We start from the raw sequence: 14,550 nt of genomic DNA on the forward strand, positions 1-14,550 counted from the left end.
GATGTTGTGCAGAGCACTATGTATTAATTAGAATATTTATTACTCACAACACCAACCCCATAAATTAGATACTATTATCCTTCTTACACAGATGAGAAAATTGAAGCTCACAAATACAATGGCTTACTTAAGATGGTGCAGCTAGTATATTTCAGAGCCAGAACTGGAAATAATTGTATTTGACTTGCTGTTAACCATCACATTTTATTGCCTGTCAAGTCTGTCCAGTATCCCCATGACTTTCTTGTCTGTAGGTAACAGTGGAATTGATGTGACCTACTTGCTGGACTGAATATTTTGATTTTATCTTATGTCCTTATGCATGGACATAGCCCCTACTATGACATTCTATGGAGTGCACTTCTTTTCTATTCTGTATTTTCCCCCAAACGCTTTGCTTTAAAGGCATTTCATTGAACCCTAGATATTAAATAGATTCTGGTTGAGAGATTCTTTTAGGTTAAATCGTCACAAAGAACTTTCTTTTAGACACACAGCTGGCATTTGATTTCTGAAGTTACCATGGATTGAATGCTGATTTCAAAAGGAGCCAGAAAAGCGAAGGTAAAGTGTATAGGCTGAGAGCTTTGATGTGCCAGAAACCATGAAGGATATTTTGTAAAACTTCACTTGCTCTTCTCAACATTTTCAGTACATTTTATCAATCCTATTTTACAGGTGAGGAAACGGAAACTCATGAAAACAAAGAAACTCATCCAAAGTTTCTCTGCAAATACATGGTGAGATCATGATATAGACTGGTGTTTCTCTTTTTAATTTCTCAATCTTTCCCTACATCAAGCTGTTTCCTGAATTAGAGAAAGGATATTGACTCTAACTTCTTTGTGATACTATCATGAAAGGAGTGGCAGCATTTTGAAGCCAGCTCCCTAAGCATTCTAAAAGATTTATCTCTTTTCTGAGATGAGAGAATACTGGGAGCTGGATGTGTTTTTAGTTTAGCCCAAGTGTAATGATATCAATGGGCTGTCTCAACAAAAGAAGCAAAATGGGCAGAGAAGAGCTTCGTGGGGAGAGGTAAATCTAGATGTACCCAGGCAGTGCCATTCCTGTTTAATCTGGAAATTACACCTGGAAATGTATTTTGTATGGATTAGGTTCTGAAATTAGCTACTAAGTAGAATATAGCATAGAGCCAAAATTATCCTTTAAACTTCCCTAAAAAAGAGAAATAAGGACTGAACAACTGTCTCAAGATTCTCCTTAGCCTGTTTATGCTTCAATATTGTAACAGATCACTTTTTCTTCAGTTGATTATAAGATAAAGAATATGTCTTGAGGGAAGGGGCCATGTTGCATGAACATTACCTTTCTTGAAGTGTCTGCAAGATGTGTTCACCAGCAAAGGCATCATATTTAGTTCTGCTAGCTCAAAGTCATTCTGGGCAAAGTCATCTGTACTGGTGCCATCTTTCTTTCTGCCTTTACCTATCACATTGTCTGAAAGGCTGCTGCTTAGGTACAGAATCATGTCTGCAAAATATGTGTCTCTGTGGGACAGACAGCAATGACAAGGCAAGCTGAAATCTACTTCCATAAATGCATTAATAAGGATCACTAGTAGGATAACACTATAAAGAGTGGAGACAGCAAAACATGATTTTCCTGCCTTAAATGTGTGGTACTGATTGGGAGATATCTTTCTACCTGCTTTATATTTACAGATACTTGATGGAAGGGAAGGAGATAGAATAAAAAACAAAAGCCAAGGGAGATATTTTTCAGAGTCATTTAAAAAAATCTTACTGTTTAAAACATTTTAAAATGTTTTGTTATTTAAAAGAAAAAAAATTACACCAAAAATAAAGAATTTACAATAAATACATGAAAGTGTCAAGAGGAATTATTTTTTGATAATTTCAAGAAAATTATATATGTGGAACAGAGATAACCAGAACATAAAACTTGAATTATAGGCTACTATTTTTACTATTTACAAATTTACCCTTCCCCCCTTTTTTTCTACTGAATTGGTTACTTTCACTCACAAAAAGAGGTATGTACTGGTTGAGATTCTTGAATTAGTTAGAATGCCTTTTTGATAATCTTTATATTAACTATTAATATCTAGATTCAAATGCTGCCAGGAGTTCAGTAAGTTTTTTAAAAACCCCAGAATATATATTCAAAAGAAAGTGGGCCTGGGATTGAACACCTCTGATCTCCTTCCAGCTGTGTGATAGGATCAGCTGTGTGGTTTTGGCCCGTTCTCTTTGGCTATCTGGACCTTAGTTTTATTTATGAGCAAAATGAGCATTTTAAACCAAATGACTCCTAGATTCCTTTCCAGGTATAACATTCTCTGTATTGGTGATAATGACCAACATTTTGAAGTTTGGGGATATATGTTTCACATCACATTTGAATATGCCATGTTTTTTAAAGTGGTGTTTTAAAAATGGTTCATAAATATTTTCTCCACACCCTGCTTGCAGAATTGCTTCAGGGAAGATCTCTCAAATGATGCCCAGATGGGAGAAGAGAAGGGGAAGGGAGATTTGAGCTTCAAAATAACCATCACTTCACAGATTGTCAGCAGTTATCCCTCAGTGGGCCGTGAACACAGGCAAGAGGAAAATTGCAGAGCAAACTTTAAACTAAATATTGGGTAGAATTTCCTGGCTCCAAAAGTGGGTTGAGGATATGAAAAGATTATTTTTAAAAAACCTCTCTGCCCTGAATTTTCAAAAGTGAATTCTTTAGAATGTTAACAGGTAATCCCAACTATGTTTGGTTTGGGTTTGGCCCAAGGATATTTCATAATCAAACACATTTGAGCATTGGAGCTATGCTCTTTCTTTATCGCAGGACTTCCTAGAGATTTTAACATGTTAAAACATGTTTTGACTCCCCAAGAAAGAAGAAAGCTCCCAAGGGACTTAGAACTTCCAAAATTTACTTGACCATGGAATGTTTTCCAAAACAGACTTCTCAGAACTTGGGTTTCTTGGAACACAGTTTGGGAAACTTTGTTTTAGCTGTCCAGTATTAATGAATACAGAAAATTTGATTTCTTTAATCTATGGTAGCTGGAAAGAAAAATGTGATCTAATTGGGTAGCTATTTTGGTTCTTTGTTTTTTTCAATTTTTAATTATAAATATAAATACATATATATATGTATGTGTATATATATATATATATATATATATATATATATTTGCCACGTTTAAGTCTTGGGTGAGTTTTTAAAAACAAGCATCTATACCAGTGTTGGGGGTGAGGATGTGAGGATGAGAGAGGACAGTGGGGCAGCAGAAATATTAGGATTCTAATCTATTGAAAATAAAGCTCCAGGTCCATCCCATCATGGATTTCATGGTCCCCCAGTATCGTGTGGTCCCTAAAAATCATGTACCATTTCTTCAGGATAATCTTTTTACAATGGGTGACAGCTTGGGCTGCAATCAGCTTCTTACGGTCTCTTAAGGTCTCCAGTGGCGTCATCTATGTTGCATTTAACATGGACCTGAAGCCCAGACAGTTGTTGCAAACAACCTCCATCATCCTAGCTAAAGCTCAAATCACCTTGAATCTGCCAATGCCACAGATTCCTCACCCGAGTGCTGAACCCCGGTCGCAGTCAACGCTGGGAACCGGAAGCTGGGTGACTATTTTGAGACATCAATGATTTGGAATGTTGGTGGCCTATCATTCTTGCCTCCTTCCAATTCATTCACTAAAGAAGTCCAGGTGACCTTTTCTAAAGGTGAATCTGATCCTCTCACATGCTACCTAGACACTACTGCCTCATTGCTTAAAAGTGTTCTTTGGGCCGGGTGCTGTGGCTTATGCCTGTAATCCCAGCACTTTAGGAGGCCAAGGTGGGCGGATCACCTGAGGTCAGGAGTTTGAGACCAGCCAGGCCAATCTGGTGAAACCCTATCTCTACTAAATAATACAAAAAATTAGCTGGAAGTGGTGGTGGATGCCTGTAATCCCAGCTGCTCCAGAGGCTGAGGCAGGATAATTGCTTGAACCTGGAAGGCAGAGGTTGCAGTAAGCCAAGATGGCGCCATGGCATTCCATCCTGGGGCAACAAGAGCAAAACTCCATCTCAAAAACAAAAACAAAAAAAAGTTTGCTGGCTGGCTATTGCTCTTAAGAGAATCACCTTTAATAAGATCATCAAGACCTTGTGGGGCCTGGCCTGCTCTACTCTCCAACCTGGTTTAACATCAGCCTACCTCACCCCCATGTTACTTTCCTGGGGCTACTATAACAAATTGCCACAAACCAGGTGGATAAAAAACAACACAAATGTATTTCCTCACAATTGTAAAGACTACAAGTCCAAAATCAAGATGTTGGGAGGGCCATGTTCCCTCCGAAGACTCTAGGGTTGGGGTCCTTCTTTGCCTCTTCCAGCATCCCCAGGCATTCCTTGCTTGTGGAAGCACAACTCAGACCTCTCCCTACATCTTCATGTGGCCATATTTCCTCTGTGTGTCTCTACCTCCTTTTCTTATAAAGGCACTGGTCTTATTGGATTAAAGGCCCACCCTACTCCAGCATGATCTCATCTTAATCAGTTCTATCTGTAATGACACTATTTCCATATAAGGTCACATTTTGAGGTACTGGGGGTTAGGACTTCAACTATCTTTTTAGAGGGATACAGTTCAACTAGTAACAACACATTTGCTCTCTCCTTTAGTAGAAGTCTTCATCGACTTCTTGAATTACCTAGATTCTTCGCTACCACAGCCTCACCTAAGATCTTTGCAAATACTCCTCGAGTGATTTTTTTTTTCTTTTTTTTGAGACAGTCTCGCTCTGTCACCCAGGCTGGAGTGCAGTGGCACAGTCTAGACTCACTGCAACCTCCACCTCCTAGGTTCAACTGATTCTCCTGCCTCACTCAGCCTCCTGAGTAGCTGGGACTACAGGCATGCGCCACCATGCCCGGCTAATTTTTGTATTTTTAGTAGAGATGAGGTTTTGCCATCATGGCCAGGCTGGTTTCAAACTCCTGACCTCAGGTGATCTGCCCACCTCAGCCTCCCAAAGTGCTGAGATTACAGGCATGAGCCACTACGCCCAGCCAGAGTAATTCTTTATCTGTTGACTCTGACTGTTCCCTCACCTCTGTTTCACCATCCTTTTCTGACCTCTATAACGGGGTCATTTCCCTACTTTATATATTTTGTAGCATCCCCCAAATTTATTCAACAGACCTTGCCAGACTTGTAATTTTATACTATGTGTGTGATTATTGTTTTTGTGTTTATCTTTCTCACCTTCCTTTTTCACAGACAGGGGCCATGTCAGTTTTTGCATTCTATTGTATCCCTAACACTTAGCAGACAGTACCTGGGAAAGCTTAATGAAAATGATCCCTTAATATTTTTTGCAGTAACATTTTTGAATATGCAAACAAATCAATAAATTTCAGAACTTTTCCAAGCAGATGTCCCTACCTGTCCAAAATATTCTCTTCTACCATTTTCATGTAACACCAATTCTACCTTTTCATGTAATACTTAGCCTAGTGCCTAAAGTGAAGCAAACAAAAACTCCCTTTGTATGATATATTCCCCATCACTTATAGGGAGAAGGGTGCCTCTGAAATTTTGGAGTTGCTGTTAAACCCCTGTCACTGTTAAAGTTGGCTCTCGCCAAACAATGAAATCATCGTCACACTGCTCTGCTGCTGAGTGAAAGCTCATTGACATAGCCCTTTGTAGAATGTCTATATTCTTCCCTTGACAGGCACTTGGAAAGAAAACCTGTATTATTCAGCTGATCTCTGAGAATAACTGAGCTCTGTTTGTGAAACTGGCTTCATATTTTCATAACCTGTACGCACGATAGCGCTCTCTACTTTGTTACCTGCTGATAGGAGTATGCAAAGTATTACTTGCCTCAGTTAGAAAATACCCTCATCTGAAATATGATGTTGCACATCTTTTTATGGAAATAACTGGACATTTCTGGCCATGAATCCCCAGAGCATGTTAAATACAGCGGTGAAAATCTACTGAAGAAGTTTTTTTTCCAGGATGAAGTTTTGACAGTTCTGTTGGTTCAGGAAGTTTATAGCAAGGAAAGGATTCCTCAGAAACGATGCTGGTTTTCTTCTGTTTTCCCCTCTATAGAAGACCCTCTGTCAAATTTGTAGCCCCTGTTCCTTTTTTGCTTGTATGCAATCTAGTCCTGTGTTTCTCAAACTGTGACCCACTTACAACTGAAGTTCTCCTCAGACTTACTTAGGCTTTCTGAGACGGGAAAATTCTCATTTTTAATAAGATCTATGGGGGATTCTTAGGTGCCCTAAAATTTAAGAACCACTTGCTTAGAATTACCAGTTTAGGGGGGGAAAGGCTCTGAAAAAGATTTCTCCAGGGGACATTTGTGAACATATCCCAATAGAAAAATCACACAATATAGGCTGGGCACAGTGGCTTACACCTGTAATCCCAGCACTTTGGGAGGCCGAAGTGGGCAGGTCACTTGTGGTGAGGAGTTAGAGACCAGCCTGTCCAACATGGTGCCTGTAGTCCCAGCTACTTGGGAGGCTGGGGCAGGAGAATGGCTTGAGCCCAGGAGGCGGAGGTTGCAGTGAGCTGAGATCACACCACTGCACTCCAGCCTGGGTGACAGAGTGAGACTGTGTCTCAAAAAAAAAGAAAAGAAAAGAAAAATCACACAATATTTAGGTTTTATGTGATTCATTCTATTAATTTAAATTTTGCATTATATGACATAAAGCTTTTTGAATGTGACATAGAGATGTATTCAAATTTAGATGTGAAAAGGCATGAAAAGTATAATGGACATGTCAGTCACTTAGCATTCCTTGCCTCTCCTTGTGTGGACAGCATAACACATGGGCCATTGATCCTAGCCATAGCTAATGGTACTAGAAGTAGACACCTGAGCTGGGCCAATCAAATTCTCTATTCTAGAAGATTGAAATTAGGTCAAGAGCAGAAATTAGGGTTATGAGAATCTGGGGCTGTGCCTGGAGTTGTTGTTATGGCTATTATCTTGCTCTAATTGCCTAAAGTAGAGAAAATGGTTCTGCAGAAACAGAACAGAATGAAGTTGACGTGCATGCATAAAGAGAAGCACCAGGCTCTCAGGGAGAAGGAGAGAGGAAGTTTGGTTCCTGATGTTTCAGGTCCTATTGGCAATGTGCAGTATTTTCTGGTAAAGGAATTATACTTAGTTCTTGTATTCTTGTCATTCTTTTAACCCAAGTTATAGCTAGTAAAAGTGCAGAATTTAATGGGTGATGAATGAGGTGGGAAGGCTGGAGGATCAACAAATTTCACTGAGTGTTTACATTCAGTGACGTGTGCTGGGACCCACGTCAGCTTGACACATACTCAGATGTTCTGACTCAATATTAATTTTCCTCTATAAAGCATTCTGGCATGATTTCTCCTGTCATTTTATCTGATAATGCTAATTCTCTTACAAGTAGATTTGAAATCAAGAACCAGAGCAGGTGGATTTAATCTTTGGTTTGACTAGCTCATGAAGGTATTGTCACCAAAGGGAAAATGACTCATAGGAAACATTTGTCACTAACATGATTGAACAATTTGGTAAGTATTCATGAGTACATTTTATGTACTAAGAACAACTTCTTTATATGGACTTATCTAAAATAAGTCATCTTCTGTATCCTTCTAAACAAAATCACAACACAATAGTCATAACTCAGTATAATATGAATCATGAGGCTCTACAAGGAACAGAACTCTTGAAAGTCAAATATTTCATTAGAAAGGAAAACTCTGAGATACTAGAATGAAAAGGAAAGTCATCTTCTCGTCTTTCTAACCCCAATAACAGAAAATCTCCTGTCCAGTTACCATCTGCTGCATTTTTTTAAAAAAAATGAAAGAAAATATTTTGATGTAAATCTCAGAATCAAGCATGTTGCACTTTAATGAACCTAAAATAATATAAAACCCAAGAGGCTTCTTCACTGCTCAGCTCTAGTAAGATGTCCATTCTCTCCAGTTATTTGAGAAAAGCCAATTTGGTATTCATCCTCCTAGAAGAGTACTTCAAAGAAGATCTTGGTTTTGAGATGGTCAGAAATAAATAAATAATAAATTTTTCATTAATTCTACGTGCAAACACACACACAAACACACACACACACACACACTCACAGAGTCAATAACTTCCAGAATATACTTCCGAAAGTCAGTAACTTCCAGAATATACTTCTGAAAGTCAGTAACTTCCAGAATATACATCTCTTCCATAGTAAAGAGATGGTTGTGTTAATTAGCCTCTCACTTAGAGTGATGCCCTTCTTTGAATTAAAACTTCATCAGCATAGATACTACTACAAGACCCAGTTATTTTATGACTGGAGTGAGGTTTAAATTGTTTGGGAAAGATTAACTGCTCTGCCTCCTGAATTGGGGTATGAGGAAAGATGTGGGCTTCTGCTGCTCCTCCTGAGAACTCCCTGATGCTGCTGTCAAATCTGGCACAGAATGAGTGAGCATTTCTCACTCTGGGGCACATATGGTCTTCTAATGTTGCTGATGCTTCATTTATTTTAAAAGGCCATCCTACCACAGTCATCTGGTTTGTCCTCTAGGAAACAAAGCCGTGTCTGGCATTTTTAAAAGTACTTTCCCACAGAACTCAATCTAAATGTTTTGGAGATGTCTGGTATTGATTCTTCTAGATAGGACTAGCAAGGGTTTCTCAAATACTGTTCCAGGAGATGCTGTGCTGAAAGAGAATTCTGTACTCAAATAGGTTTGGGAAGGCCTGCAAACTCTGTTTCTCTCTTGGGGGATCACAACCCTTGTTGCAGAGACTGTAAGCTCCGTGAAGTCAGAGACCATGTCTTTCAAAGTCATCCTATATTCCTGGGCTCGGCACAAGATTGGCATAGCCGGTTAGTAAGAAACATTGATTTGGTAGAATACTAAAGGCTCTGAGAAATCCCTCAATAAAGAAATCTATTTACCTTTTACAATGTACTACTTCCCTCAAAGGTTTGACTATAGAAATCTTTTGTTTTTTAAGGTGACACTTTTATAGTATCCACAGGATACAATTCCCAGGTCATTGTCACTCCATTCTCCTCTAACGTTTACCTTATTCCTTGATGAAAAGAATGAAAAAAAATGTATAAACTCATCATCATTAAAAACATATCACTCATCTGGAAATATAGGCATCCTTTTATGTTTTAAACCATCCTGGCTAACACAGTGAAACCCCGTCTCTACTAAAAATACAAAAAACTAGCCGGGCGAGGTGGGGGTCGCCTGTAGTCCCAGCTGCTCATAAGGTTGAGGCAGGAGAATGGCATGAACCCGGGGGGCGGAGCCTGCAGCGAGCAGAGATCGCGCCACTGCACTCCAGCTTGGGTGACAGCGAGACTCCGTCTCAAAAAAAAAAAAAAAAAAGGTTGGGAAACAGTAAACAGTGAGTGAAAGAATTAAAATGAACAAGTCCTTATATCCCAGAATCAGCCATGTCACAAATTCAAGTCTTTGATGATTTTCATATACAGTCCAGAGCTTACTAAAGATTTTCTGAACAGTCTGGGGGGGTTAATTTAAACAACAAAGTACAGTCATTATCAGCCTTCAAAAACCTATAGGTCTGTGCCATCCTTTAAGTTAATCCTCATGATTAGGGTTTAGCCGTATTGCCTTTCTTTGGTTTTACCAGCATGTTCTGGCTCCTTCTCACTTTAAAGTCTTTAAATAAGCTGCTTATAAAACTATTCTCCCTCTCCCTATTTACCTCGTTAATTTTTCCTTAACCCTCACATATGGGTTCAAGCATAATTTCTTTTTCAAGGAAGAGTTCCCATGTCTCTAACTTACACACGCTCATAGCATCCTAAACTTTGACATATTGGCATTCATCACAATTTTAGTCAAATAGCTAATTAGGCAATTAGTTGCTTAGCATCTGTCTCCTCTAAAGATTGGAAGCTCCATGAAACATGGAAGGTGTTGGTCTTGCTCAGTGCTCCCTATAATTGTATGCTGGATGGGTGCTTGAGAAATATTTGTTGGATGAATTTAGACTGTATTTTGTAATTAAATGAGGTTTAGAAAACCTCACAGAGTCCATATTAGCTAAAATTTTTTTTTTTCCAAACAGGACATTGTTCTTACTAAGAGAACAGTCAAGTGAATATAATTGTGGAAACTACTGGAGTATTTAACTAAATTAAGAGTGTTAGTTTTGTGTAATTAGAGAGATTCAATTCACTATATAGCTCTAATTCATTAATGAGAATAATTCTTTACTTATATATCTTGGCCAGTATTAGTTGTTAACTACATTCCCTTAATTTAGATGCAGGGCCTACTGTATGCTGGGTGCTGAGAATGGAGGAAAAGCTAATTTTAGTGGTTTCTTTCCTCAAGGAGTAGGTAACACAGCAGAAAGCCAGCAGAGTCTTCACTGGAGTTAGAACCAATCAGAGCCTAAAAGAAATTTGATTCCATCTAACTGAAATAGATTGTGGACAAAAGTGATTTTACACAGGACTCTCCTTTTTGATTCTTTTTCCTCTTTATCTGAGGATTATTAGTTGCTTTAAATAATGTTTGCTGCAAGCAAAGTTGATTTGGTTGGTTGGTCTGGTTTCCTACAAACCTTACTTGTTTTCCGTTTTCTTTCCCTTCTTAGTTATTCTCACAATCACCACTCCTAACTTTTGATGCTCCTGTCCAGAAAACTGAGCAAAAGAGTGGCTGAAGAATAGGAATGATGAAGAGAAGAAGTAAAAACACCTGGTAACTGTTAAACAAAAATTATGCCATCCATATTTATCTTCTATAAGTTGTTTCAAACTATCTTTCCCTTTCTTTCCTTTTTCTCCCTCCCTCCCATCTTCCCATTTTCCTCCCTTCCTTCCTTCCTTCCTTCCTTCCTTTCCTTCCTCTCTTGTTCTCCTCACTTCCTTTTTAAAAACTACTAAACTAATTGTATACTAATTGTAGTTGAATATCACTTTGGGCAATTCACCTTCATACCTGACACCTTCACACATCCTTTACTGGTTCTTCAAATTTAATATTCAACAAATAAACGCTTGCTGCCACTATTAGCCTCTTCTCCAGATTCTGCTAATCTAACTAGATTTGTTTCTATAAATTAGGCTGTTGGGAAAGGTACCATAAGACCTTCTTTTTTTCTGAAATGGAGTCTCACTTTGTCACCCAGCCTGGAGTGCAGTGGCGCGATCTTGGCTCACTGCAACCTCCACCTCCTGGGTTCAAGCAGTTCCCTGCCTCAGCCTCCTGAGTAGCAGGGATTACAGGCACCCGCCACCACACCTGGCTAATTTTTATATTTTTAGTAGAGATGGGTTTCACCATGTTGGCCAGGCTGGTCTTGAACTCCTGACCTCAAATGATCAACCTGCCTCAGCCTCCCAAACTGCTGGGATTACAGGCATGAGCCACCGTGCCCGGCCAAGACCTTCTTTTACTTCAAATTTTTCTTCATGCTTTAGAATGATGCCATGGCACAAGAGCAAGGAGATTCAAGTTTACAGTTTTTTGCAGCAATAGTATTCTGTTGAATCTTTGCAAGTGCTCACTATCTCTCTATAGGCTAATCCTGCTATTATTTTGTTATAAAGTTGTTCTCTCCTCTAGTTTCCATCTGCCTCGGTAGATGACAAGGACTTTAGAGAGCTCAAGCTGTTTTCAATTTTAAGGAAGGAGAAAAATTAGCCTGCCATATCAGCTTCCCAGGGTCTGTAATGAAGCACTCTGCTGAGAAATCAGGTTTTAAGAAGAAGCTTGAATCTTTCTTTTTTTTTTTTTATTATACTTTAAGTTTTAGGGTACATGTGCACATTGTGCAGGTTAGTTACATATGTATACATGTGCCATGCTGGTGCGCTGCACCCACTAACGCATCATCTAGCATTAGGTATATCTCCCAATGCTATCCCTCCCCCCTCCCCCGACCCCACCACAGTCCCCAGAGTGTGATATTCCCCTTCCTGTGTCCATGTGATCTCATTGTTCAATTCCCACCTATGAGTGAGAATATGCGGTGTTTGGTTTTTTGTTCTTGCGATAGTTTACTGAGAATGATGATTTCCAATTTCATCCATGTCCCTACAAAGGACATGAACTCTTCATTTTTTATGGCTGCATAGTATTCCATGGTGTATATGTGCCACATTTTCTTAATCCAGTCTACCATTGTTGGACATTTGGGTTGGTTCCAAGTCTTTGCTATTGTGAATAGTGCCGCAATAAACATACGTGTGCATGTGTCTTTATAGCAGCATGATTTATAGTCCTTTGGGTATATACCCAGTAATGGGATGGCTGGGTCAAATGGTATTTCCAGTTCTAGATCCCTGAGGAATCGCCACACTGACTTCCACAATGGTTGAACTAGTTTACAGTCCCACCAACAGTGTAAAAGTGTTCCTATTTCTCCACATCCTCTCCAGCACCTGTTGTTTCCTGACTTTTTAATGATCGCCATTCTAACTGGTGTGAGATGATATCTCATAGTGGTTTTGATTTGCATTTCTCTGATGGCCAGTGATGATGAGCATTTTTTCATGTGTTTTTTGGCTGCATAAATGTCTTCTTTTGAGAAGTGTCTGCTCATGTCCTTCGCCCACTTTTTGATGGGGTTGTTTGTTTTTTTCTTGTAAATTTGTTTGAGTTCATTGTAGATTCTGGATATTAGCCCTTTGTCAGATGAGTAGGTTGCAAAAATTTTCTCCCATGTTGTAGGTTGCCTGTTCACTCTGATGGTAGTTTCTTTTGCTGTGCAGAAGCTCTTTAGTTTAATTAGATCCCATTTGTCAATTTTGGCTTTTGTTGCCATTGCTTTTGGTGTTTTGGACATGAAGTCCTTGCCCACGCCTATGTCCTGAATGGTAATGCCTAGGTTTTCTTCTAGGGTTTTTATGGTTTTAGGTCTACCGTTTAAATCTTTAATCCATCTTGAATTGATTTTTGTATAAGGTGTAAGGAAGGGATCCAGTTTCAGCTTTCTACATATGGCTAGCCAGTTTTCCCAGCACCATTTATTAAATAGGGAATCCTTTCCCCATTGCTTGTTTTTCTCAGGTTTGTCAAAGATCAGATAGTTGTAGGTATGCAGCGTTATTTCTGAGGGCTCTGTTCTGTTCCATTGATCTATATCTCTGTTTTGGTACCAGTACCATGCTGTTTTGGTTACTGTAGCCTTGTAGTATAGTTTGAAGTCAGGTAGTGTGATGCCTCCAGCTTTGTTCTTTTGGCTTAGGATTGACTTGGCGATGCGGGCTCTTTTTTGGTTCCATATGAACTTTAAAGTAGTTTTTTCCAATTCTGTGAAGAAAGTCATTGGTAGCTTGATGGGGATGGCATTGAATCTGTAAATTACCTTGGGCAGTATGGCCATTTTCACGATATTGATTCTTCCTACCCATGAGCATGGAATGTTCTTCCATTTGTTTGTGTCCTCTTTTATTTCCTTGAGCAGTGGTTTGTAGTTCTCCTTGAAGAGGTCCTTCACATCCCTTGTAAGTTGGATTCCTAGGTATTTTATTCTCTTTGAAGCAATTGTGAATGGGAGTTCACTCATGATTTGGCTCTCTGTTTGTCTGTTGGTGTATAAGAATGCTTGTGATTTTTGTACATTGATTTTGTATCCTGAGACTTTGCTGAAGTTGCTTATCAGCTTAAGGAGATTTTGGGCTGAGACGATGGGGTTTTCTAGATAAACAATCATGTCGTCTGCAAACAGGGACAATTTGACTTCCTCTTTTCCTAATTGAATACCCTTTATTTCCTTCTCCTGCCTGATTGCCCTGGCCAGAACTTCCAACACTATGTTGAATAGGAGTGGTGAGAGAGGGCATCCCTGTCTTGTGCCAGTTTTCAAAGGGAATGCTTCCAGTTTTTGCCCATTCAGTATGATATTGGCTGTGGGTTTGTCATAGATAGCTCTTATTATTTTGAAATACGTCCCATCAATACCTAATTTATTGAGAGTTTTTAGCATGAAGGGTTGTTGAATTTTGTCAAAGGCTTTTTCTGCATCTATTGAGATAATCATGTGGTTTTTGTCTTTGGCTGTGTTTATATGCTGGATTACATTTATTGATTTGCGTATATTGAACCAGCCTTGCATCCAGGGATGAAGCCCACTTGATCATGGTGGATAAGCTTTTTGATGTGCTGCTGGATTTGGTTTGCCAGTATTTTATTGAGGATTTTTGCATCAATGTTCATCAAGGATATTGGTCTACAATTCTCTTTTTTGGTTGTGTCTCTGCCCGGCTTTGGTATCAGAATGATGCTGGCCTCATAAAATGAGTTAGGGAGGATTCCCTCTTTTTCTATTGATTGGAATAGTTTCAGAAGGAATGGTACCAGTTCCTCCTTGTACCTCTGGTAGAATTCGGCTGTGAATCCATCTGGTTCTGGACTCTTTTTGGTTGGTAAACTATTGATTATTGCCACAATTTCAGAGCCTGTTATTGGTCTATTCAGAGATTCAACTTCTTCCTGGTTTAGTCTTGGGAGAGTGTATGTGTCGAGGAATGTATCCATTTCTT

General features: G+C 39.2%; 1 protein-coding gene and 1 pseudogene across 1 annotated transcript in view; one reads left to right on the top strand and one right to left on the bottom strand.

The window, feature by feature from the left end:
* The first annotated feature begins 682 nt into the window (after positions 1-682).
* SYNPR (synaptoporin) overlaps positions 683-14,550 on the top strand; it is a 416,321-nt gene continuing 402,453 nt past the window's right edge. The window contains exon 1 of the mRNA XM_017005731.1: positions 683-740. Coding sequence (XP_016861220.1) covers positions 697-740 — 44 coding nt within the window. The 5' untranslated portion in view covers positions 683-696. The remainder of the gene's footprint in view (positions 741-14,550) is intronic.
* UBL5P3 (ubiquitin like 5 pseudogene 3) lies at positions 3,200-3,624 on the bottom strand (annotated as a pseudogene).

The sequence above is a fragment of the Homo sapiens genome, chromosome 3, assembly GCF_000001405.40.
Source record: "Homo sapiens chromosome 3, GRCh38.p14 Primary Assembly".
Taxonomy (NCBI): domain Eukaryota; kingdom Metazoa; phylum Chordata; class Mammalia; order Primates; family Hominidae; genus Homo; species Homo sapiens.